General features: G+C 37.8%; 1 protein-coding gene across 3 annotated transcripts in view, besides 2 other annotated features; it reads right to left on the minus strand.

Annotated features, from left to right (window-relative positions):
- Positions 1-25,593, minus strand: part of KCNH5 (potassium voltage-gated channel subfamily H member 5) — a 345,995-nt gene extending 320,402 nt beyond the window's left edge. For all 3 annotated transcript variants that reach the window (NM_172375.3, NM_139318.5, XM_047431275.1), the window contains exon 1: positions 25,249-25,593. In NM_172375.3, coding sequence (NP_758963.1) covers positions 25,249-25,321 — 73 coding nt within the window. In that variant the 5' untranslated portion in view covers positions 25,322-25,593. The remainder of the gene's footprint in view (positions 1-25,248) is intronic.
- Positions 24,854-25,357: an enhancer, noted in NCBI's record as "H3K4me1 hESC enhancer chr14:63511437-63511940 (GRCh37/hg19 assembly coordinates)". NCBI's record gives its function as "activates a minimal SCP1, AML or CMV promoter by ChIP-STARR-seq in naive H9 embryonic stem cells {active_cell/tissue: H9 hESC(naive)}" and the evidence as "EXISTENCE:reporter gene assay evidence [ECO:0000049][PMID:30033119]".
- Positions 25,358-25,861: an enhancer, noted in NCBI's record as "H3K4me1 hESC enhancer chr14:63511941-63512444 (GRCh37/hg19 assembly coordinates)". NCBI's record gives its function as "activates a minimal SCP1, AML or CMV promoter by ChIP-STARR-seq in naive H9 embryonic stem cells {active_cell/tissue: H9 hESC(naive)}" and the evidence as "EXISTENCE:reporter gene assay evidence [ECO:0000049][PMID:30033119]".

Consider the following 27,514-nt stretch of genomic DNA (forward strand, 5'->3'; position numbering starts at 1 on the left):
AGGACATTCTCAAGAAAATGAAATGGAAACCTACAGCCTGGGAGAAAATACTTTTGATACAGGTATCTGAGAAAGAACTCTTATCCAGAAAATACAAAATATTCCTACAAAAGAACAAACAACCCAAGTATCAAAATAAGCAAGTAACTTAAACAGACATTTCACACACAGAAAAGAGAAACAACAGCCAATGAGCACAAGAACAAGATGCTTACAATCATCATGCATCAGGAAACATGAACTGAAAGCACAACGATATACTGCTGCTCAATTACTAGAGTAGTTTTAAAGATTAGCAATACAACATTGTTGATGAGAATCAAGAACTAGTGCTCCTTATAAAATGCTAGCAAGAATGTAAAATGGTATGATCACTTTGGAAAACAGCTTCTTGTAAAGTTAAATATGTATCTATGACCCAGAAATTTCACTTCTAGGTATTTATGCAAGTGAAATGAAAACATATGTTTACAAAAAGACTTGGAGGAAAATGTTCACATCAGATTTATTCACAGTAGCCAAAAATTGGAAACAATGCAAATGTCTATTAAGAAGAGAATGGATTAGAAATTGTGCCATATTTACACAAGGAGTACTACTCAGCTCTAAAATGGAACAAAAAACTTCTGACACATGCAACAATATGACTCAAAAACATTATAAAACAGCCACTAAAGTAGGTATACTGTTTGATTTCATTAATATGAAGCTTAAATATAGGGAAAACTAATATTATATGATGATAGGGACCAGAACAATGATTTCTAAAGGGAATGGTGGAGGAAGTGACCGAAAAGATAAAAAGAACTTTCTGGCAAATGTAATTGTTCTCTATCTTGATAGAGGTATACGTTACACAGGTGTATACAATTGTCAAAATTCATTGAACTGTGCAGTTAAGATCTGGGCATTTTGCTGCATAAAAATTTTTTAAAACACACAAAGAGGACAATGGATAACTCCGTCTGACCAGAGAATCAGAAGTTTTAGTAAAACAATGGTACTTGAGCTTAACCTTAGTTATGAGGATGGTATTACTACATTTCTGTGGTACCTAGGGCAGTTAGAAATCAAAATGAGCTAATTTCTGCAAAAGTACTTCAGAAAGTATAAATTCCTCTATAAATAAATGATGTTTTCTTTTATTTATAGTATCAACTATAAATTTTTTAATATGACCATCAAAAATTGTTTTCTTTCTCGCCTTAGCCCAAGCCAGTTTACCCTCTCTAATCCATAAGCTGTCCACTTCATGACTAGATAACTGTGGCAGGCCATACAGCTACATGGTATCCCTGCCTTAACTCATTCCAATGTTCAGTCTTGTGATTAGGTGAATGCTAAATTGTCTCCCTGAAACCCTTCCTGTATCCTATCATTCTTCATCCAGATCAACAATCCCAACTGTTTATATAATCAAATCTCAAATCCTTTCCGAGGCTAACAAAGCCCTCTGAAATCCAGTCTCACCTTCCCTACCTATACAAACATGTTTCCCATTGTTCCTAAAGTCTATACTATTACAGTTAGGTCAGTCTCTTCATTATGTTCCGAAAATCTGCTCATTCATGCTGCCCACTATTCACTTGAAATACTTTTCTGACATCTCTTTGCCCATCAAAACACTTAAGAATCATCTCAACTCTACATTTTCTATGCCACATTCACTGAATACCACTCAGCCTACATCTCCTCTGGCTGCCACCGTATCTGTCTCCAACCATTCACAGGACAAACTTTCCACAGAAGTTGTCTATTCTCACTGACTCCATCTCCTCAGCTCCTGTTCACTCAACTCACTCCTATTTAGCTTCTTCCCTACCACTCCACCAAGACAGCCAAGTCACCAATAACCTCTCCCTATCGCCAAGCCCACAGGATGCTTTTCACTCATTTCATAACAATTCAGAAGCGTTGGTAACCACTCCCCTCTTAAAAGTCTCTCAATGCTTGGCTTTCACAGAACACCATTCACTTGTTTCTCTGAACATTCCTCTAGTTTTTTTGCAGGCTCACCATTCTTTACCAATAAGTATACATTAGAGTGCCTTCTTTACCAATAAGTAGACATTAGAGTGCCTAAGTCCTCTCCTTTCTTTACTCTTATATGCTTATCTATGTCCATAGATTCAGTAACTCATGATTGTATATCTCCAAACCAAACCTCTTCTGTAAACTCTCGATCTTGATATCCAAACTTGACCTCTTTTCTTAGCTATCTTAAATGTGCTTCAGTATAACATGATCATGACTTTTTACTCCTTCAAATTAGGTACTTTCCCACTGTTTCCTGTCTTAGAGAATGGGGCCACCATCCATACAATTTTATCAGCCAGTAATCTGGGAGCCATCAATCAACATTTATCCCATTACCCTCGTATCTAATTAATTACCAATCGCATTACTTTTATCTCCTAAAACTCTTTCAAATCTCTCTAGTTCTCTTCATCTCCATGATCATCACCCAACTCCAGCCCTCTATCATCTCTCCCCTAGACTACTCAGGTAACTGTCTGATTTACTCAGAACCTCTGTGGGAGTCCTTCAATGGATTTTTTATACTGAAGCCAAACGAGTTTTTTGTTTGTTTGTTTGTTTGTTTGTTTTTCAAAAAACTAAAATTGTATCATGTTTCCTCCCTCCTTTAACATCCTTCTTTTGGCTCTCATAAGACCCAAATCCTTTCCATGGCCCACAATGACTTCAAAGTCTGCCTAGCCTTAGTTCTCATCACTCTGACCCTTGCCCACGATACTCGCCTACAATAGCCTCATTGACTTTTCTTATATTCTTGTAAAAGCCAAGTTCTCTCCCAGCATAAGGACTTTTTATTTGCCATCATCTCTGCCTAAATACCATTCCTTTCCCTCCTCACCTTGTCACCTTCATTTATTTAGATCTTAACTCAATTGACATGACCTCAGGGAATCTTTCCCTGACTGCTGATGAGGTTATATCCCTGTTATATAATTTTTTGACATGATGTACCTCTCCTTCACAGCCATTCACAAGTGCAGTTTTACACCTATTTGTGTCATGACTTAATTAATGTATATCTGGCCAGGCACGGTGACTCACACTTGTAATCCCAGCACTTTGGGAGGCAGAGGCAGGTGGATCATGAGGTCAGGAGATCGAGGCCAGCCTAGCCAACATGGTGACACCCCATCTCTCCTAAAAATATAAAATTAGCCGGGCATAATGATGCACACCTGTAGTCCCAGCTACCCGGGAGACTGAGGCAGGAGAATAGCTGGAACATGGGAGGTGGAGGTTACAGTGAGCCAAGATCATGCCACTGAACTACAGCCTGGGCAACAGAGCAAGACTACATCTCAAAAAAAAAAAAAGAAAAAATTAATGTTTATCTGCCTATTGGATTATAAGCTCTACAGGGATAGAGCCCATGTAAGTTTTTGCTCACATTTGATTTCTCATTGCCTAGCACAGTGCCTGACACATAGTAAATGCTAATTTAATGGTTGATTATATGAATAAGCCAATGAACTAATACATTTTTGCAGGGTTCTCTTTTTATATAATTGGTATTATAAAATTTATTAAATAATGTCTTTCTAAATATTCCATATATGCTAACTTTGTCTTTTCATATAAATCACATATTCCTCAGGATTATAAATTATATGCCTAGTCTGCATACAGGAATTTCAATATAATCATCCAGACAGAAAATCAATAATGAGACATTGGACTTGAACTACACTTTAAACCAAATGGACCTGACAGATATAGATATATAAACATTCCACCCAAAGACAGTAAAATACATATTCTTCTCAAGTACAGAAAGTTGAAGTTCTCAACACAGAATATTCTGCAGGATAGATCAACTCTTAGGCCACAAAGTAGGTCTTAACAAATTTAAGAAAATTAAAATCATATAAAGTATCTTTTCTGACCACAAAGTTATAAAGCTACAAATTAATAATATGAAGAATTTTAGAAAATTTACAAATATGTGGAAATTGAACAATATACTCCTAAGGAACCAATGGGTCAAGGAAGAAATTTGAAAGGGAAATTTAAAAATATCTTGAGACAGGCTGGGCGTGGTTGCTCATGCCTGTGATCCCAGCACTTTGGGAGGCTGAGCCAGGCAAATCATGAGGTCAGGCATTCAAGACCAGCCTGCCCAATATGGTAAAACCCTGTCTCTACTAAAAAATACAAAAATTAGCTGGGCATGGTGGCACACGCCTGTAGTTGCAGCTACTCAGGAGGCTGCGGCAGGAGAATCACTTGAACCCGGGAGGTAGAAGTTGCAGTGAACCGAGATCATGCCACTGCACTCCAGCCTGGGCAATAGAGTGAGACTCCATCTCAAAAAATATATATATATATATCTTGAGACAAATGAAAACAGAACCACAACATACCAAAACTTAAGGGAAGCAATAAAAATCGTTTTTAGAGGGAAGTTTATAGCAACAAGTGCCTACATGAGAAAAGAAGACCCTAAATAATCAACTAATATTATAGCTCAGTGAACTAGAAAAAGAAGAACAAACTAAGCCCAAAGTTAGTAGAAGGAAAGAAATAATAAAGATTTGAGCAGAAATAAATGAAACAGAGACTAGAAAAACAACTTTAAAAGGTCAGTGAAACTACAAGTTGGTTTTTTGAAAAGATAAGCAAAATTGACAAACCTTTAGCTATACTAAGGAAAGAGAGAGAAGACTCAAAAAAATCAGAAATCAAAGAGGAGACAATACAACTGATACCACAGAAATACAAAGGATCATAACTATTATGAACAATTAAAATCCAACAAACTGTCTAATCTTGAAGAAATAAATTTCTAGACACATAGAGCCTACCAAGACTAAATCATGAAGAAAAAGAAAATCTGAATAGACCAATAACAAATAAGGAGATTAATCACTAACAAAAATTCTCCCATCAAAGAAAAGCCCAGAACCTGATACTTTCACTGCTTACTAATTCAATCTTTCTCAAACTCTTCCAAAAAATTAAAAAGGAGAGAAAACTTTCAAACTCATTTTAGGAGGCCAGCATTACCCTGATACCAGACAAGGAAGCTACGAAAATAGAAAATTATCTGCCAATATCCCTGAAGAACATAGATGCAAAAATCCTCAATAAAATATTTTCAAACCAAATTCAACAACACATAGAAGGATAATTCACCATGATCAAGTGGTATTTATTCCTGAGATGCAAGGATTGTTCAATATATGCAAATCAATAAATATGATAGACCACATTAGCAGAATGAAGGACAAAAACTATAATATTGATTCAATAGATTTAGAAAAGGCATTTGAAAAATTCAACATTGTTTCATGATTAAAAACTCTCAACATATTAGGTTTAGAAGTAATGTACCTCAACACAATAAAGGCCATAACAAGCTCTAACATCATACTCAATGACAAAAAGTTGAAAGTTTTTCCTCTAAAATCAGGAACAAGACAAGGATCCTGTTCTTACCACTTCTGTTCAATTTCTAGCTGAAATCCTAGCCAGAGCAACTGGAAAGAGAAAGGAAATAAAGCCTTCCAAATAGGAAATAAAGAGGTTAAATTGACTCTGTTTGCAGACAATATGATCTTATATGTAGAAAAAAACTAAAGACTCAACCAAAAAACTGTTAGAACTAATAAACAAGTTCAGTAAAGTTGTAGGATATGAAATCAACATATGAAAAACAGTTCTATAACAACAAGCTATCCAAATAAGCAATCAAGAAAACAATACCATTTACAATAGTAACAAAAAAAAAAACAGTACTTAGGAATAAATTTAACCAAGAAGGTGAAAGATCTATACACTGGAAATTGCAAAACATTGATAAAAGAAACTGAGGAAGACACAAATAAAAGGAAATATATCCTGTGTTCATGGACTGGAAGAATTAATATTGTTAAAACGTCCATACTACCCAAAGCAATCCACAGATTCAATGTAATTCCAACCAAAACCCCAAAGACATGTTTCACAGAAACAGAAAAAAAAAATCCTAAAGTTCATCTGGAACCACAAAAGACCCCAATAGCCAAAGTAATTTTGAACGAAAAGAACAAAGCCAGAGTCATTATACTACCAGATATCAAAATCTACTACAAAGTTATAGTACAAAAGCAGCACGGTACTGGCATAAAAATAGACACAAAGACAAATAAAACATAATAGAGAGCCCAGAAATCAAGCCACACATTTATAAACCATTGATTTTCAGCAAAGATACCAAAAACATACAATGAGGAAAGGGCAATCTCTTCAATCAAGGATGTTGGGAAAACTGGATATCCCACATCAGAAGAATAAAATTAGACGCTCATCTCACACCATATATACAAATTAACTCAAAATGGATTGAAGACTTCAACATCAAACCTGAAACTATAAAACTGCTGGAAGAAAACATAGAAGGAAAGCTACAAGACATTGGTCTGAGCAAAGATTTTTTGGGTCTGACTTCAATAGCACAGGTAACTAAAGCAGAAATTACCAAATGAAATTACATCAAACTAAAAAGCTGTACAGCAAAGGAAACAATCAACAGAGTGAAGAGACAACCCATGGAGTAATAAAATATATCTACAAACCAAACATATAAGGGGTTAATATGCAAAATATATAAGAAACTCAACTTGATAGTAAGAAAACAAATAACCAGATTAAAACATGGGCAAAGGATATGAATAGACATTCCTCAAAAGATGAAATGCAAAGAGCTAACAGTTACATGAAAGAAAGCTTAACATCACTAATCATCAGGGAAATGCAGATTAAAACCACAATAAGATGTTACCTCATACCTACTGGAATGGCTATTATCAAAAAGACAAAAGATAACAGCTGACCAAGATGCCAAGAAATGGGAACTCTTCTACACTGCTGGTAGGAATATAAATTAGTACAACCATTATAGAAAACAGTATGGAGGTTCCTCAAAAAATTAAAAATAGAACCACCATATGATTCAGCGATTCCACGACTCAGTAAATATCCAAAGGAAATTAAATCAGCATGTCAAAGAGCTATCTGCATGCTCATGGTTATTGCTCCACTATTTACAGTAGCTAAGATATGGAATCAACCTAAGTGCCAATCAACAGATGAATAACGAAAATGTGGTATATATGCCTAATGAAATATTATACAGCCTTTAAAAAGAAAGGAGCATTGTCATTTGTGACAACATGGATGAACCTGGAGGACATTATTTTAAGCGAAATAAGTCAGACATAGAAAAACACCATATGATCTTACTTACATGTGCAATGTAAAAAAAGTCAAACTCATAGAAACAGAGAAAAATGGTGGCTACCAAAGGCTGAAGGGTGGGGACATTGGGGAGATGTTGGTCAAGGGACAAAAATTTCAGTTAGACAGAAGGAATAAGTTTGAGTGATCTACTATATATCAGGTTAATGACAGTTGATAGCAATATATTGTATATTTGAAAATCTCCAAGGGAGATTTTAAGTGTTCTCACTGCAAAAAATAAAAGTGACAAGTGAGGTAATGAATATATGAAATAGCTTGACTTAGCCATTCCACAATGTAGACATATATCAAAGCATTATGTTTCCTAGACTATCTTTTTAAAAACTTCAAGTTGGTTTGAAAAAAAAAAAAAAACTCTGAGTTGTTATGTCTGATTGACTATGTGAGCAAATACTTTAGGGTATACTATACCTGGCAAATACTTGAATTGTCCATATTCTATATTATTGATTAAAATGTAGATATTTTGAAAAATGGTATTGAAGAGAAGGCAAAGTCTTATTGTATACTATAAACATATTCAATTTTTACTTGTTGATTTTTTAAAAAATTTTTAAGAAAAGTATTGCAATATAGTAATTATTTATTGGTTGAATGAATTGCTAGTATTCTAGGAAAAAGGACCCCACAGGCTTAAAAAAGAAAGACTGTAAACATTAAGGGCCGGCTGATCTAACAAATAGTGTTTTTCAAACTTTTTTTATTAAAGCTCATAGTAAGAAATAATATTTACATAGTGACTCAAGTGTATATACATATGTGCAGACATGTATATACACAATACACAATTGAAAAAATTTCTCAGACTACATTTACTCACTACATGAGAGGTACTCTACAATTTCTAACCTATTTCAATTTTGGCTGCATTAATCAAGACCTGTTAAATCAATTTCATAGCCCAATGAAGGGGTGTACCTTACAATTTTAAAAGCATGCTTTAAACAACTCTGCAAAGGCTTTACAAACCTCTCTCTCTCTCTCTCTCTTATAAACAGACTAGTTTTCAAGACATTTGTTAGGATTTGGATCATTCTAACTATTTCATATGAACTCTGCCATTAAAAACATTACCCTGCCCCCATCATACCATTTTCAACAGCTCTACAATGGGAACGTTCAGACTCCAGCTCAGCAGGGTCCAGCTATCACTACCCATCTGTTAATATGTTATTTCACTTACACTTGAGTAACTCTGTGTAGTAACAAAATTAATAACAAAAGCAACCATTAGTGGACTCCTACTCTATGCTAGGTATTGGGCCTGATGTTGTACATGTTATCCCTAATCAGGAAAACTTCATTTCTTCCTTCACTGATCACTCATCAGGCAATAAGTCACAGACTCACAAAGCCGCGATTCCCAAGGTCAGAAGTGGCAACTAGAACACATGTTCCTTAAATTCTAATTCTTGGCTGAAATAATTGCAAATTTAAACTCTTCCTAAGTAGTCTAGGAAATTCTGTCTCTTTTTTTTGCTTTAGATGGAAAAGTAGGAAGACTAGGAAGGAAGGAAAAGTCCTAAAGCAACTCACTGCAGGGAGAACTAACTCTTCCTGTTAGACTGGAAGCAGAGTTGTTTAGGGAGAAGAACACAGAAGTTAGAATCAAAAGTAGGTAATTAAGACTTTGCTTTTCTCTTCAATCCCATTTTTCAAAATATCTACATTTTAACCAATAATATAGAATATGGACAATTCACATATTTGCCAGGTATACCCTAAAGTATTTGCTCACATAGTCAATTAGACCTCAGACCTAACAACTCAAAGAGCGTTTTTCAAACCAACTTAAAGTTTTTAAAAATGTAGTCTAGGAAATATGCTCTCCATTCATCTTTATACTTGAAGTTTAAGTCCAGTAATTGAGACCATCAAAGAGTTAAGTAATTGGACTGTGCTCACCAGACCTTACCTCGAGGCCTTAATAATTGCATTTTAACTATATGCACTCTGAGTTTATGGAGGACAAACATGAAAACTGCTTTTACCATTTCTGAACGTTTTATAAAACCGTAGTTGAGTAAAGCAGACATGGTGCTAAGTCTACTTTATATGAGATGTTATCAAGTGGTAAACATTTCTAACAATCAATATACCACAAGGAGCCCTGACTCAAATATTCTCCCAGAACTTGGATCCCTTCTCCGTACCACCAAGTAAGTTTCTGCAAAAAAGCTGGTGAGTTCCAATTAGGCTACTGGTTGCCTGATATACAAACTGGTGACAGTAATACCCACCATTCTGGATAGTTACGGAGACTAAATAAAGTAAGCAGTCTTTATAAACTATTAAAGCAAAAAGCATTTATAAGCTATTACTATTATGTACAAGATTAAGTTACTGAGTTGTATATGCAGAGGTATCTTGGTGTGTTTGTGGCGGGGGGGATGTATGTATGTATGTATGTAAGAGAAGAACCTAGAAAAAATAAACTGTTAAATGTTGACCTGCAAACCAAAACCTATAAAATTGTATTTATCACTAAGAACTAAACTACAGAATAAAATACTTGAGAAAAATGAGAAGAAGAGAGGGAGACAGATTTTTTAATTAAGGCTAAATTAGATAGAAATTGCTGAATATTAACAATCCAGAGGTTTCTTTTTGAAATTTCTCTATTCATTGAAACACTCTCTATGTATATGAAATATTCATATAACTGTTGCATTTCCCTGTAGTCATGAAAATTCTTATTACAACAAATGAAAAATATATTATTAATAAATATTAAGAACAGAATAGCAAATTAATTAAAATTGCTTCCCAGAAAATTTTAATTTCTTTTAGCTTTAAAACATGTTGAGGAAAAGAAATCTGATTACAGAGGAATAACTTCCTTGAAAACAAATGAGTTACAAATCTAGAAAGTAAGAGGGTTTAGAAGTTTTGGAAAAGTGATGCCTTTAAAGAAATTGCCCAGAATTTCAGTGACCATCACCCATTCTTATCAACCAATCTTGACAGGGAAACCAGTTCTGGTTTGTCCTCACAGCTCTTAAAGGACCTTGAGCCATGAATTCTGGAAAATTGAACTTTCCTTGAGATCCAGATTGTTTCATTCCTTAAAGATGTTTACAAACATTCCATCTCCAAAGGGATCAGACACACAATATGGTCCTGAATGAGGTGCCTAAGAACCAGGGCATTATCCCCACCAGGAGGCAAGGATTTCAGAAGCTGTAATTTCACAAGTCAGCAGATTCTGGAATGCATCCACAAGGGGCTAAGACTTGAAAACAACTCATTATATTCATTCAAGACTATGCAGTATCCTATCAGAGGAGAACATAAAATAAAACAAGCACTTTTTCTTCAAGGGTTAGAAGGTTAAAAACGAATCAAAGACCCTTAATTCCAAATGGTCCCCTAGAGATTATTACCAGTGTTTCTCAATCTTGACTGCACAGTTGAGTGGAGTGAAAGTTGAGGGAGATTGGAGGGGGCCACCTAGGAGTTATTCATCCCCGTCCCCAAATGCCAAAGATTCTGTTTTAATTGGTCTTGAGTAGAACCCAGGCATCAATACTTATTGTTAAGTCTTTCAGGTAGTTTTAATGTGCAGCCAGGGTGGAGAAGCACTAATCTAGAGCAATAATTCCTAAATGCTGGCAGCTGCAATAGAATCTTGTCACCAGTGTCAAAAATAGAGATTGTTAAATTCTAATGCAGATGCTCTGAACTGACTCCCTCAGAGGTGAATGTAAAAATACAGACATAGAGGTAAGTCTCATGCTCAGCCAAGTCTGGCACACTTTGATCCAGTGCCTTGCTACTCAAAGTATGGGCCAGCATCACCTGGGAGTTTATTGGCAATGCAGAACCTGGGACGCACCCCAGACCTTCTGAGTTAGAACCTGCATTTTAACAAGATCCTCAGGTGACCCCAAAATGCACCCATCTTCTGCTTTTCCTTTCTTTTAGGGATGGGAAAACAGACCAGGAAAATTAAAGACTCATCCAATATAGGAAAAGAGTATCTAGTAGGGGGAAAAGAGTATCTAGTAGGGGAAAAAGACAGGACCAGGCCTCCCTGTCTAAGACTTTCTATTCTGTCAGACTATATTTCTGAACTGCTAAGTTTTTGTTTTATTTTGTTTTAATATAAGGAGGCACTTCCTCTTTATAGAGCAATTTATTCAGACAACAGGAAAATAACTACACTTAGGTTAATACTACTACATATTAATTCCTAAAGGAGTTCATACACAAATCATGGGATCAATAATCCTGGCTGATAAAAAATTCTGGACAAAGGAAGGTTATATTCAGTCAATAAAGGCAATATAAGAGCATGTGGGATGTTTCCTCCCTTTCTATAGCAATTCCAGGAGAAAAAAAATGATTTCCTCGAGCTGCTCCAACATGATCGGACTGGTTTTTGTTTTGTTTTTATGAAAATCATATCCTTCTCGGATCCAGAAATCTCATGTACATTAACAAGGGTGGTGGGGAGGGGAAGGAAATGGGAGAAATCAAAGGATACAAGCTGGCAGTTATGTAGGATAAATAAGTCTAGGGATCTAATGCACAACATGAGGACTACAGTTACTAATATTGTACTTACTAATATTGTATTGTATGTTGAAAATTTGCTAAGAGAGATTTTAGCTCTTACCACACACATACAAAAGGGTAAATATGGAAGATGATGAATAGGTTAATTTGCTGGACTGTATAATCATTTCACTATTTATATGTATATAAAAACAATGTTACAGGCCTTATATATATACAATTTTTAAGACGTGTAGAAAAAAAGGGTGGAACAGCTTTTTAGGGGGTTAAGCCTCTGGCTCCCTCTCCTTTTTACCTTTTTTATGCAAATTACCCCCAGAGAGAAATATTTCAGAGGACTAGCAGTTTTTAAGTATTTTAAGTAATAATAATAAGACACACAAATTTTAGAGTACTGAGGAACAAAGAAAATGGAGAGGAGTTGAGAAGAAAAAGGACTTCACAAAAAAAAAAAAAAAACTTTCACTAATTTATAGATTTGCCAAGATCCAGGACGGCATGTGAAGAAAGTCAGCTGCGTTTTCCCTCTGACTGTATTCATGTAGTTCTAACTTTGGAGAAGGACACCACCCAGAAACCACAGCTCTCGCTCTCAAAGCCCTCAAACCCCGGAACACACAGCTCTTCCAACAGAAACGAAGTGCAGGCAAGACTACAAACCCAGATAAGGGCTATTTCAAGCTGCTCTTCCAGATCACTGGGGCTTCAGTGAGGAAGAATCAGTGCAGGCAGTCGCAGCTTCAAGTATCGACCCACCCTTCACAGTGCTCCCATTCAAAGAACACACATTCCAAAAATCGATGCCTATGAAGGAAAATCTGAAGCAAAAGTGACCCATTAAAACCATGTAGCAATCACTAACTTTTTCTAAAAGGAGTTGGCTGCAGAGGCCTTTTCAACAATGCTTATTGTCAAATATTTATTATAAAGTTAGGTTTAGTTTGGGGTTTGGGTTTTATTCAAAAGTTTACTTAGTTTCTTATCCAAATCAGTTTCTTATCAAAATCTGAAACTACATGTTTCTAATCCACAAGAATGACCAGACTGTCCAAGCTAATTACCCGGATCTTTTCTGAACTCTGCAAATGGAATGCAGAAATCACATCTGTACACACTTATATTGAGCTAAGCTGTCTTTGGCTGCATTATTCTTTTCTTCAAGGGAATGAAAAGGGAGCTAGATGACAGCGATGATGCAGATGGTCTTTAGAGTTTCATTCCAAGCGTGGCCTTCTTCCAGTTTTTCCCATCTCAAGGATATCTTCCCTACCTCCATCTGCACGCAAATGCTTGGGCCAAAACCTTGGGAGTCATCCTTCACACCTCATCCATGTCATCCAATCCATTACTAGATCCTAATAATGCTACCAACAAAACATATCTGATACATCCATTTCTCCCCATTTCCACTACTACCATCCCAGGCCAGACCACCATCATATCTTGCGTCGACTACCGCAAGACCAGACCTAACTGGTCTCCCACTCTTTCTCCTCCTCCCCTCAACCTTTACGGAAGTAGCTTTTGGGACTATGAGGTTTTTCCACTGCACTAGGAATAAAACACAAAATCTTTCCCCTGAACAGCCAGGCCCCTAACTGTCACTCGCCCTTATCTCCTGTCTTTCTTCTGGTTTCACCCAAGGCAATCTAGCTGCGCTAGTGTTTAAGCTTCACAAACTTAGCCATTCATTTTCTTTTTCTCCTTAGGAATGTTCACATGCTTTCTCTTTGCCTGAAATATTCTTCTTCCCACTTATCCTCTTGTTACCTCTCACTGTAGGTATCAATTTAACACTACTTCTTTAGAAAGGCCTCCCAATTGGAATTAGATCCCAATGCACACGATCATCAAACCCTCCCCTTTTCATCCAAAATGCTTACCACAATTTGTAATTATATATTTGATGTAGGCTTGGTGAACGCCTGCCTCCCCTACCAGACTCTGAGTTCCATGAGGTCAGGGGCCGTGTCTATTTGTTCATTACTGTACACTCACAAATGTTTTATGAATATATCAAATAAAAAATTCTGCTTCCTATTTAAAGTCATACAGTCAGTCAATAAATAGTTATAAAGCAATTCTTAGACATTGTTAAGAAGGTAGATAAGGACCATGGCAGGTATTTTTTTTTTTCAAGGAATTGGCAATAAGTTAAAGAAAAAAAAGGAGGGGGTGGGTGTTGCTAAGCAGATATTCCCCCGCTTTGAATGGCCTCTAGAAACTTGTGAATTTAAATCATGCAGTCTGTATTATTTTTGTTTGTTTGTTTTTTGCTTTGAGACAGAATCTTGCTCTGTCACCAGGTTGGAGTGCAGTGGCGCAATCTCAGTTCACTGCAATCTCCACCTTCTGGGTTCAAGTGATTCCCCTGCCTCAGCCTCCGGAGTAGCTGGGACTACAGGCATGCACCACCAAACCCGGCTAATTTTTTGTATTTTAGTAGAGGCGGGGTTTTACCATGTTGGTCAGGCTGGTCTCGATCTCCTGACCTCGTGATCCGCCTGCCTCGGCCTTCCAAAGTGCTGGGATTACAGGTATGAGCCACGGCACCCAGCCTGTATTATTTTTTAAATGTGTCTTCTGGATGAATGATACCTATAGATCTATTTAAGTTTCATAGAACAGTAATAGTGGAAAAATCTGAAGCATATATAGCAATTGTATTTGGGTTAAATAAAATCTTGGTACAGATGGCTAAACAAAAGCACAATCATGCCCACATCCACAATGTTGATTTGTTGTATGTGCACTGCCCATTTCTATGTCAATGACAGAATGTAAGGCTGGTCTCCTTCATGTTCTTACAAAATACACCTGTATCCTACAACAATCCTCTAGCAATATAGCAAATGTGCAGACATACTTCGTACCTTCCACAATGACACTAATTATTACCCAATAATATTGGCAACATTAAGCAGACCATCACTGTAGGAGTTTGAAATATGCAAAAATATCTGTTAATTTATTCAAACTTGTTCAGGTGTCATGAAAGATAAAAATATGCTTCCACTTTCTATCTCCTTCACGATCAAAGGTACATTTTTTAAGTGTCTGTGTTTCTTTGATGGCATTAACTTCATTTTTTCATCCAGCTACAGTGGTTCAAAATGCATGAGATACTTTAACATATATTTCTGAAATTCTAGTGGTAGGAATAATAGCAACTTTGCTATTAAAAAAGATTTCTCCACAAAATGTTTAACAATTCAATGTTTCTACTTTTAATAGTTGGTGTTTTGTTCATGAAAAAATGAGTTTCTAAAATGTAAACTGGTCAGAATCATTAGAAGCAAAATATAATTGCAATAATGGCCTATTTGATGCATAACATCATAATACAACAGAAAACTTTCACCCTGATATAATGATAACATTTTACTAAATTATATTGCAATGAAATTTCTTAAAATACCTGAAGCTATAAGACTTATGCTAGTTACATAATCTTGGGGAATAAAAGCTAAATCAGTCAAGATGTATTTATAAGAGGAAAAAAGTATATATTTAATGTTTAAGCATCATTTTAAATCCTACAAATAAAGATTTTTGCAAATGGACTGCATCTTTTCTGAGGAGATTATATATTTTCTTTGAAGTTACCCTTTAATGGCAATTAAACACTAATGGCAAGATAAATGATGAAAAACTTCAATTAAAAAGCTGGTCCAACCTGCACACATGATAGAAAAACACAAAGAGGCTTTTCTGAATGCATTCACAATCCAGTTAATTTTCTAAGGCTTTCTCCTGTATGTTTTTAAATTTCTACACTCTATGTAACAGGAGCTAATTGTTCAAGAAAGAGTTACAGAGCTACAAATTCAATTCATTTCTCCTTTGGCAGGATTTCACTAGGATGGTTATAAGAAGAGGCTGATGTTTCTGCTTTATTCCTCAGTTTGTCCAAGAATTATCAGGTATTGAAGTAAGCAGAACTGATACTTCTTTTGCTCTAGGCAGTAGGTTTTTGTTTGGGGCGAGGATGGACAGAGGTGTGTTGTTTGTTTGGGTTTAGTATTCTCTCCAAGGTAAGCCCTTAGTAAATTGAACTCAAATGCTTTTAAGCTCAGATCCACCAGTTTCTGCTGGGAAATTCTCAACTACTTAATTTCTTGCTTTCTTCAGGTTAAAAAAAATCTCCCCTACCTTACCTTATCTAGAGTAAGTCCTTACTGAGATGATCCACTACATCTGGGGCTTCACCAAATCTTCTGAGCAACCCTGTAAGGTAGGTGTCCTAATTCTGGAGAGCCTCAGTGTGTCACCAGGAGTAAGGGCTAGACAGGAGTCTGTGTTGTCAAGAACTCAACACCTTTGCTCTTTCCATCCCAGCACTGTGCCTGATAGCACAGTTGAGAGCACTGCTCTGTGAGCCTTGGAAATGCCCTCATAGAGTTCCAGAAAGATTACCAGTTACCTTGATGATGTTTGCTCTAGTACAGACAGAAGCTGTTTTAGGAACGAGCAAGGGGAATATGTCACACATGTCATTCCTCCCTCTTGGAGACCTTTAGTTTCTGAGGTCAGTTAATGAGGCAGCTCTTTCCTTCTGACCTGTAGTTCTTTCTTTGGTCCATCACAGTTAGAGACACTGGCTGTATATGATGTCAGTTATGAACATGCTTCATGTCTTAAGATGAGTCAGTATAGTAAATGGGCATGAATTAACTTACTCTGCACACAGCACTTACAGGAGACACAAAAGAAAGCTAAGGACTGATAATCTAGTTGGAAAGTAAGACTAACATTATACTGAATGGAAAGTCAAAGATGACCCTAACACTTCTAGAGTAAAAAACAAAAATACTAAAGACACTTTGAATAGAAACGGGAGATACAAAAAAAAAAAAGTCAATCTGAGGCCAAAAGCAAATAAATTCTATTCTGCCTACACTGAGTTTTAGATGACTTTTGAGTAGTACAAGAAGAGAAATCCTGTATACCTTTGGAAATACAGACCTGGGGCACAGAGAAGATAAAGTTTAAATTATGGCAGAAGACAAACTTTCCCTGAAAAGTAGGATGGAGATGCAAGAAAGAAAGTTGAAGGGAGAACTTGTGGGACTACTCAACTCATTCTTTAGGAAGGAAAAGGAGAGGAGGGAGGAGGAGAGGAACAAAAAGGGAAGCCAGTAGAAAGGGCAGCAGGGCTTGTAAGCTCATGATAGCTATAAGATGAATGGTGGAGAGGGTAGGGGAATATAGTTTCAAACCTTGCAAAGTCAGAAAAAATATGGACCAAGAAAAGATCTTAAGATTTACGAGAAGAATGCGCACTCATAATTTTCTAGGAATTTTCAGCATTATGGAGGAGGCGGAAATTAGTTGAAAAGAGGTGCAGAAGGAAATGGTGACTAAGAATTAAAAACATCAACTATAGAAAGTGCATTCAAATATTTAAACAACTAAATGATAATAATAACTACTGGCATGATATAATGCTTATTTATGTGCCAGGCACCGTTCTCCGTACTTACATGTACTGCCTAACTTAATCCTCACTCTAACCCCATAAACTAGGTACTATTATTACTTGTATTTTATAGATAAGGAAACTAGGTACAAGTAAGTTAAGTCACCGAGCTAGTAAGTGTCAGAGCCAGGACTCTAATACAGGCCTCTAGAAACTTATAAATATGCACATGCCCTCCACAGAAAAACAGGAGAAACATTGTTTTTGTCACTGTGTTCATTATGAATCCCTAGTGCTAGATCCCTGCCTAGCACATAGTAGGTACTCAATAAAATGGTGTTGCATTAATGGATAATTAACTAGAAAGGGCATGAGAGCCAAGCAAAAGGATCAGCGTTGTATTTCGGAGTCTTTATTCTGAGACTCTTTAACCCCCATTGAGGAACTCCTCTATTTTTTCAATGCTTGTAAATGTATAAAAATAAAATCATTGTGCTTTAATTTTCCCCCAAATTTAAAAAATAAAAATAAATGCCAGCAGACCAAAAAGGGCTTACAGAAAAGATCAGGACAAAGGTTAACTTTTCCCCTCAATCCAAGTGAGTTGTTCGATTTTTAGTTAGATATGGCAACCTGAGGCTGGCCCTGCAGTCTCTAAAAATCTAAAACTCATTTTCCTCTTCTGCTGCATACTGCACAGGGCTGTAAGCTGCTCCCCAAGGCAAAACTCACTCAGAAGGTACTTAAGCAGGTAAGGATTGATTCCCAGGGATAAAACTCACCATCAATAACTGCTAACTGCAAAGTTGTTAAAATAATTTAGTTAGAATCTACAAATTTTTAAGCAGTTCTTTCTGGTATTAAATAGTCCAGCTTTCAAGCTCTTGACAACTGAAACAAAAATGGTAGAAAATATTTCAGCCGCACCTCAATTTGGAATAGGAAGTGAACATGGGATCCATTTCATATTCCTTTCTCATCCTCTCAGAAGTACCATCTGATTTGCCCTATGCAGTGTGGTTTCTGTTTTCAGATATATGCATTGATTAACTAAATAGTTTAAACTATGTAATTACTTATTCAAGCTCACTTAATAGATTTAATCAGCATTGGCTTGGGGAAAGAATTAATTATGGTCTTGGTTACTTTAGGAGACAAAAATCAAAAAAGCATTTATTCAACGAATACTTACTGCTATGTGCTCTGCACAGTGGAGGACATAAAAGTCTTTTTAAGATATGACCCATATCCTCAGGGAGCTTAGTTCATATACCAAAATTTTCATGACTTCCCAATTATATGTCCTTATATCTACAAGCTGTTATGATTATGCACATAAGCTCAGATCTCAAATTGCGTATCTTTTGAGATCCATATGACTTTGTACTTAATAGTTATATTTCTGTAATGGGACCAGACCCAAAGAGAGAGGGAAATCTATTTTCAATAAAATTTCCAATAGCTTTCTAACCACACTTTCTTTCTAAATTACTGTGCTCATTAATTTTCCTCTTTTTTCTTTTGTCAACCTAATATATCACAAAACTACTATCTAGAATGTATATAAATATGTCTCTTTACTAGGTAATAGTATCCACATATAACCAAACACTAAAATGATGTCTAAAATACACACTGATCTATGTGACAATAGTTATTACTGCCTCCATTTGATCAAATATATTTCAAGACTCAGCCTTTCTAATATATTAGTTTCTATATTATATAAAATAGGAATATTTAAATGATTCTTTTTAATTATCTTTAAATGATGAAAAGGACTCATGTCATGTATTATAAAGCTAGACTATTTAGTGGAAAATGCTGAGGATTTTTTTACATTCTGCTTTGCTATTGGTAAAGGAATTTGTTTCATAAATGTCCATTTTCTAGAATACTTTCTAGAACACTACTTTCTTTGACCTCAATTTCCACAACAATAATTGCCACTGGTTTTGGATTGTGATTTGTTATCCATGTTTATCTGATTCACAACACGTCTCTTGTATTTATAAAAGTACTTTAAGACATGTTTCAATTTTTCCCATTAAAACCAAAATTGTGTGGAACATTTCAAAGTATCTCTTGCTATATGGTTTCTAACCCACCAAAAAGAAAAAAGAATTGCCTTAAACCAAAATTCAGATTTACTGACTAAGAGGAAACAAAACCTCTTAAAACAGTCTACTCCCAATCCTGTCTTTTGGAGTTTAATAATTTAAAAAACTTTGAAAATATTATTTAATAATTTTAAACAATTTAGCTCTGTATTTAATTTTTAAAATTTGGGTAAAAATAAAATACTAGGATTACATAACATCCTGAGGAAGTAACTATAAATCTGTAAACTATCTTTTGATAAAATTAAAGCACTGTTATGAACTGATTCTACTTCACCAATTCAATATAAATTATATAAAGATGTCTCATAGAGAAAAAATCTGTTGAAGTGGCTCAATATGAAGCATTATGTACAGGTCATTTTTCTGCAAGACTTTATATTTCATATACTGTATGTATATGAAATGCTGAAATTGCGTATTACCATAAAATTTTATCTGCTAAAGAAAATGCTCTATTAGTCTAAAATGTATTTAAATCCATCTCTTTACAGAAACAATTTTTATCAGTATCACTTTCGTGTAGTTATAAAATGTTGATCACTGTCAACTAAAATAAATTCTAATAATTAATATAATACATACCTTTTTTCATTTAACTTTCCTGCATGTCTTACATTTTAGATATTTTCTTCCAAGAGCACCAACTAACTACATTGACTCCCTCCCAGTCAAATTTGGGGGGTGGCAAGCAAGGTGGGGGAAGGGGGAGGTGGGAGAACAGAAAAAGAGAAAAATATTAACTACTTGGTTCACCTGTGACAGAACCCAGAGTGACCTCTTGTGGTAAATACTAACTACAGTACTTTGGTGAACAGCACAACCTTTTCCTAGGCTACACTCTGGAGAATGCAGAAGCATTGTTCCTCCAAGCTAAGAAACTCGGCTGTGACTCACAAGGAAAGAAAAAGATAAACACTGACTAAACTAAAGGGCTTCTTTAGGAAATCTACTCAGTCGCTATCAATTAAAATAATCATAACTACGCCCTTCTATTAAAAATAATGTTTATATGATCCTTTTAGTAAGTCAGTTACAAGGTGCCTAGGTAGATGGATGTCTTACACATCCTACTTCTGGAATCAAGCAAAAGATAAACAAAGAGGGCAATTTCTAGTGAAGATAACAGTATCTTAGAATAAGCATCCCTCTATCAGCAATGTGCTGCATTCATTATATAACACAGTGTGGGAATCTAATGCAAGGGACAATCTTGTGGCTTATGTATAAATATAATTTAGGAAGTGGTCAGTATAATTTCAACCTCTTTGATATTTTAAATGTTAAAGTGGTACATTATAAGACCTGAGTAAACCAGTGCTTCAAAAACACTGTGTGGTTTTATCAGTATTTCCTGAATAGTGTCTTAGATATTAAAGAAAACCTTTCAAGAAAAAATGTCAATAACTTTATAACAACAACAACCAAAATAATGTCCATTTGTTTTCCATTATTTCTTTTAAATTGGCTAATTGTAAAAGTTATTATTCCTTTTTTGTTTTGTTTACAGATCACTAGTTCTGCTTCCTCTCTTATAGGTTTCTTTTAAGACCTCAGTTTGTACAAATGTCAATTCAGCATGAAAATAATTTTGGACTTTTCTACAAGTAAGAGATAGCTGAGTAAAAAAAGTGCTTGTGCAACCAGCTATCTCAAGCAGAATGAAAAATTGAGGATACTGAGTTTCTTCTCTTGAAAGGTAAGTGGTTCATAAAATACTACCTTCTCTGTTTTCTTCTTTCCTGAACCCCTTTTTTCCCCAAAAAGAAAAACACTTCTAGTTTTCCACAAAACTAAAATAAACTTCCAATTTGTCATAAAGCTTAAAATATTAAATAATAATAATTTCTAGTTAAAAGGTATTAATTTGTAGTTAAAATTTTCAAAATAGCAACCTAGCTTACTGTCACTCAAACTAATCATGTCTGCCTATTTGCTAAGGAATTGAAGACAACATATGAGTAAAATGTGCTGCCCAAAGACAAAATCAGGTTGAAGGTCTTTGAAATATTTTTTGTCTTTTGAATCTAAATTTTAACCTAAAAGTCCTAAAAACAGTTACTTTCTTCCAGATACTTAACCTCTACCCACAAGTTTATTGCTCCCTAGAGCCCAATTTAGATTAATAGTTTGCATAAATAATTGAAATTTAAATAAAGGAAGGTATCCTAATAATGTTCTAGACACAAATCTAGTCTGTAAGCCCTTGAGGCAGGGGCCTTCTGGGAGACATTGCTCAGCTGTAATGAACTCACCACATAGTCCTCTAAACCTTCCCTTACTAATGGCTTATTTTGATCGTACTAGCCAAAAGTTTGTCTAAGCCGTCCTATAGCATTTATACTTTAAACTTTACAACTTCTTAGAGTAATAATGTTCTCTATATTTACTAGAATCACATGCTAAGAATTATTATAATTCCTTTTGTCTAGAAATGATCTTATCTTTTATCTTTAAACTAAAAAGAATTCCTTGCTTCTTTTGAGATTTGGCTATAAAGGGTGTGTGTATCCATCCTACTCAATGGCCCTCATTATTTTATTTTATAGACTTTGAATCACCAGTAACAACTTGCAATGCTCGCTTATAACAGACTGAGTCAACTAAATAAGGAAAATAAAAATCCAGTCTCAAGAGGTGTGAAATAATAGCATAGGTTATAGTTGCCACTCTGGAGTACAGAATACAGTGCTGGTATTCTGGGAAACTGCATCTGAGGAGTTTGGAACTTTATTAAGAAATCCTCAGGTATAAAATTGATATTCAAATATGCCACACTTCTTGCTTTTTTGTTTCACATCATCAAAAAAATGTTCTGGTAAATTTGTAACTGGCTGAGATTTCAGTTCATTGGTGATACCCATGGACAAATAAATGTCTGACATTTTCTCTTTGTGTCCATTTCCCTTGCATGTCCCATAATCTCTCTCTCTCTCTCTCCCACCCCACCCCTTTCTCTCTGCTCTGTGTGTTTTGTTTTGTTTTGTTTCCTACATCTCTGTTTTGCTCCTTGTGTGCAAGACAGAGAAAAAGAGTTAGATTGCTTCCTCTCTGTCTGTAGGGTGGTGGACACACTTTACAGACAAATCCTAAAAAAGAAGAAGTAGGATATTCCTCTTTTCAGTTTTCTGGGTGGATGCCTGACCAGCTGAGTGTTTACCTATGTGACTGTGTATTATCTGGGTATCTCTCTATATCTATGTCTATGTTTGGCTGACTCTCACTGTAAGATCTGACCTTTTCATAAGAAGAAAATGGTATTGTATCAGAAAGAGCTTTTCTTGGGGTTCAGGTAAAAAGACAAGGCCAGCCTCTGTTTCTTCAATTGTTAAATAGATTGGGAGTGCTGGGTGCTATTCTTTCTCTTCCTGCTAAACCTCTGCCAACACTTCACTTTCAATGTTGTTAAGTTAGTGAATAATGAAACCTTCAAAGTGACAAACCTGATCCATCTGTGAGAATCCTGAAGGGAATTTTCTATTAGTCTCAATTAAACAATTTCTCAGGATAAATTTTTCTATTTCTCTGCCAAATCATATAGAAATGACAACTGCGGGATATTCCCCCGTGAATGTGTAGACCAATTTAATACCATAATTCTCAATTTCTGAGGTTCTGCCTATAAAAGAGGTACTGAGACTTTTCAGTATTTATCACACACACCTGCATATATACTCACTACAACTATCTAACACACTTCAAACAGTTCAGGGTCTTTGAGTAGTGGTATTCAAAGTTAGCCATAGGCGATTAGAGGTGGCATTTAAGTGCCAAAACAGATAAATTTTCATTTTCACTTGGTATTGTCCAGGAAAGAAACATTTAACCAATGAAACGATTATGAACATGAAGTGTAAAAAAGATAAAATACTCATTAATTTGAGTGGTAGATACAAAATGGAGGCAACAGAAACAGACATTTCTAAGCCACCTAAGGTAAATCTTTATTTCATAGTATATCTACAATTTTTAAAAATTCAAAAAACTATCTCATAGTTTCATAGTCTGCATAAGAAGCTTCAACCACAGTTGCTATATTAATAAAGTTTAGTCAAGGGATTCTCATGTTCTTTCTCTTTATAAAGCAGAGCAATCGTAACCCTGCAGATTTTATGTTTTAAGGCCTTCTCTGAAAAGTTCTCTCATAGACCAAATTGCGTGAAGTTGAAATAACCCAAGAGGATGAGAAAGCTGAAAGAAGACTTGTATACTTAACTAATTCCAATAATCCACACATTTTCCCCAAACTGTTTTAAGAGTAATATCCCCTTGTATTATAGGTTTAGTATAATCTTAATACAAGAAGGTAATCTATAAGAATAAAAATTGCCTACCATTATGAATTTATATAACTAAAAAATATACAGGTATTTAAAAGAATATTAGGCCAGACCCTATTCGCTATTTTTTCCGACCCAAATACAACACTACTGCTTTAGACTTTTATTGTTTCAGGCATTGGCCAAAACGAAGAAATAAAGTTTAAAACCTCAAATTAAAAACAAATAACAAGTCAGATATTTGGGGAAAATACTTTGAAACACTTAAATACAGTTAGTCTCAAAATCAGAGGAAATATTTACAAGCCTAGTCTTAAAAGAGATTCTAATCTAAGAATTAGTATAATCTAATCTACCATTTAGGGAAAGCATTATTTATTTAATTATTTGATATTTCAGTGTACCTCTGTCTTTCCCTGTGCCTCCAACTAGGCAAGGAGCCTCTTAAGAAGAGGGGATGTGTATTAATTACTTTTTTTTAATCCCAAGAAACCACAGAGTATCTGTGGTATAAGGCACCCAAATAAATATTGTTTCAATGAATGAATAAACAAGGCACTATGGAACTGCATAGAGTATTTCCATTGCTTTGTTCCAAGCTCTACTGTACTCCATATACAGAAATGTCTTTCTCATTATTCTCCAAGCAAGAGATGTCAAAATAACAGCCTCTGAAGGAAAAACTTAAAAAGATATTCAACATATCTTACTTATGAAGTTTAAAATTATACAAAAGAATTAAAAACAAGTAGAAAACGCAGATTTCAGTAAGATGCAAAGTTTATAAGGTCTTAAAATGTGGAAATATATAACCATTCCCATCCAAAATATCTTGTAGGAAATGAATGTATAAATGGATGGTATTTTAAAGACACACTAAGGCAAGAAAACTTTAACGCCAGTAGCAAGGTAGGATGGCATCTTTTTGATTTTTTTCTAGTTGCATTAAAAGCACAATAGTTACTGCTTCACTTCTACGTTTCTCATGTTTAAGTCAAACGAAATATATAGATGAATGTACAGTGAAAAACATAGCAAGAAGAAACTTGAAGCACCAATTTGTCCACAGTAATTGGCTTCCCATTTTGCAAGCACTGAACTCTTTCTTAGGTTCAACCTCAACTACTCTCCCCGGCACAAAGCACCTTTCCCCGTGACCACGAGGGCCAAAAGCCTTTCCAGAGATTTAAATCTTGTTAAGTAGCCACTTTCGCAGCCATTCCCAACTTGAGGGAAACCTTTCCACTGAGATTAACTCAGAATTTGGTCAGTCCCTGCTGCTCACTTTGGGGAAAAATGTGGGAGAAGGAAGAACAAGAAAGATAAAAGCAAAACTCAACTCTATGTTCCAGATGTACCTACACCCTATCCAACCCCTTTCTTTCCTCCAGTTCTGGGCTCTGGACAGGTGGGAGGGGGTGAGTCTGTCTGGTAGGAAGGGGATGCAACTAACTTTCCCCCACCATCTCATTGCCACCCCACCCCACCCCAAATCCAGCCCAACTGGTAAATGAAACCACCAGGTAAGGCTGCCTGCATCCTCCTCCCCCCTTGGGAGAGGGATGGGATGGGGAGGATGGGGGGCGCGTGTGGGCGGGATGGAGGTGGGGGTGTTCTGAACTACAACTCTCCTTACCACTGGAGCGCCTGACGATGTTCTCCAAAAATGTGTTCTGCGGTGCCACCAGCCCTCTCTTGCCCCCCGGCATCCTGGGTCTGGAGAGCAGCGGCCAGGATCCGCGGCGGGGGAGGGGGGGATGCAGGCAAAGAAGGTGGAGGAAGAGGAGGAAAAGGTGGAAGAGAAGATTGAGCCGAAAGAAGAGGGGGCGCGGCGGCGGCGACGGGGTCCCCTGACTGTGTCTCCAGCCCGACCCGGATGAGCAGCTCTGGGGAGGAGGACCAGGCAGTTCATGGTAGTAGCGCTCCCCCGGCCGCCGCTGCCCAGACTGTGGCGGTGCCGCACACGGGGCTCGGGAACTGCAGGCTCCGCGGGGCACAGTGCGCCTGCGCCGCCCCCGCTGTCGCTGTCCCGCCGGTGCTGATGCTGAGGCTGCTGCTGAGGCTGCTACCGCGGCGGCCGGCGCCTGGGCGCGGGCTCTGCATCTCTCCCCCTGCTGGGGAGCGCAAGCGGGAACTCAAGCCCCCACCCTCCCAATCCCCCTCAGCTCAGACCGAGACCCCTTCCCCGCGCCTTCGTCTCCCGGTCTCCTCGTCCACCCCCTCGCGCAGCGAGCTCCGGGCTGAACAGCGTAGCCCAACTTCTGGGCTGTGCGCCTGGTGGTTGCTCCTCTCCCCGGAGATCGAGGCAAGCGATCGCTGTCCAATCGGGCCGGTGGAATGGGAGAAGAGGGTGCCAGAGAGAGCAGTGGCCAGTCGGAGGCTCACATCTCGGCGTCTCCCGCTCGGGTCCCGAATCCGGGCTGCTGGCGCGGACGCGGCTCCCGGGGCGGAGGTGCGGGCAGGCTCCAGCTCCAGCCCCAGCCGAGGCTGAGAGCAGGGCAGGGACTGGCTGGGCGGCGCGCGGGGACGCAGAGCAGCCACCTGACGCTGCTACCGCCCCCCTCCGGGCTCCGGCGCCTGAAACCTTCCTGAACACTGGCGCTTTCCGCACCGCCCTTACCCCACCCCGGAGCGGGAGCGCGAGCCCTGAAGTCCGAGCGCACAGCCGGCGCCCGGAATGGCCCCTGCGACCCGGGCCGGGCTTGGCGTCTGGGGGAGCGTGCGGCCGCCCAGGGGAGTTTCCCCCAGGACCGCTGAGCGCAGGAGGCGATCCGCGAGCCCGCCACCGCTGCAAAGTTGCGGGAAAGGTTGCACTTGATGTGAAGAGTAGGGGAAGAGGGTGAATAATTCACACCCGAGAGAGGGGGAGTGAGGAGGGCAGTGTTAGCGATGGAAAAACGGTAAAGGCTGTGGGGGCGAAGATGCGCCAGGGTGGAGCAGGGCACGAATCACCTCTAACAAACCCCCCAATTTCCAGGCGTTGAGAACGGACAGCAGCGGCACCGTTACAAACAGTCCAAAAGCCTGAATGTGTCACAGAGAAAGGAAAATGGCATAAATGCGAAAGGGGTGGAGAGAGATGGAAAGGAAAGAGGAGCCCGCACTGAGGCACCTTCCTTGATCTAAGGCAGTGGTTCTCAAAGTGGCCTGGACGGGCAGCATCCGCATCTGCACCACCTAAGAACTTGTTTATAATGCAAATTAGTGGATTCTACCCCAGAGTTAGGGAACCAGGAACTCTGAGGATTGGGTTGACTCATCTGTTTAAACAAGCCCTCCAGGTAAATATGATACATGTAAGGCTTCCTCTTTTCTCTGGGGGCTGCACCTGGGCCTGTCGAGAAAGGACGATTGTGCAAACAGGGTCAAAGAGTGGGGGACCAAAAGTGCACTGCCGCGGCGTCAGCGGTTGGTGGTAGAGCGAAGTCTTCAGTGTTGAAGGCGAAAAGATAGTTGGATGGGTGCGTCCCCTTTTGCTGGGGTCAGAATGTGCTAGAGGAGAGGTAATTGCGTTAGAAATTATCAAGGTCAGATTACCAGAAGCAGGGAGAATCCCCAGGCAGGGGTGGAAGTACACATCTCAGCACCTGTCCCCTTTTGGAACCCCCTAGATTACTAATCACTGACCTCAAGACAGGATCTCTCTCTCTCTGTCTGTCTCTGTCTCTCTCTCTCTCCCTCCTTGCCTCCCCTCCCCTCCCCTCCCCTCCCCTCCCCTCCCTCTCTCTCTCCCCTTCTCTCTCCCCTTTCTCTCTCTTCCCACCTCTCTCTCTCCCCCCACCTCTCTCTCCCTTTCTCTCCTCTCCCCAACTGGGTAAGCCTACTGCTTGAAGCAGCTAAATGCAAAACCAGGATCCAGCCTTTACCTTGGGGTCATTTTTTCCCTCTCTGAAATTTTCAGA

Source organism: Homo sapiens, chromosome 14 (assembly GCF_000001405.40).
Source record: "Homo sapiens chromosome 14, GRCh38.p14 Primary Assembly".
In the NCBI taxonomy this organism is placed as follows: Eukaryota; Metazoa; Chordata; class Mammalia; order Primates; family Hominidae; genus Homo; species Homo sapiens.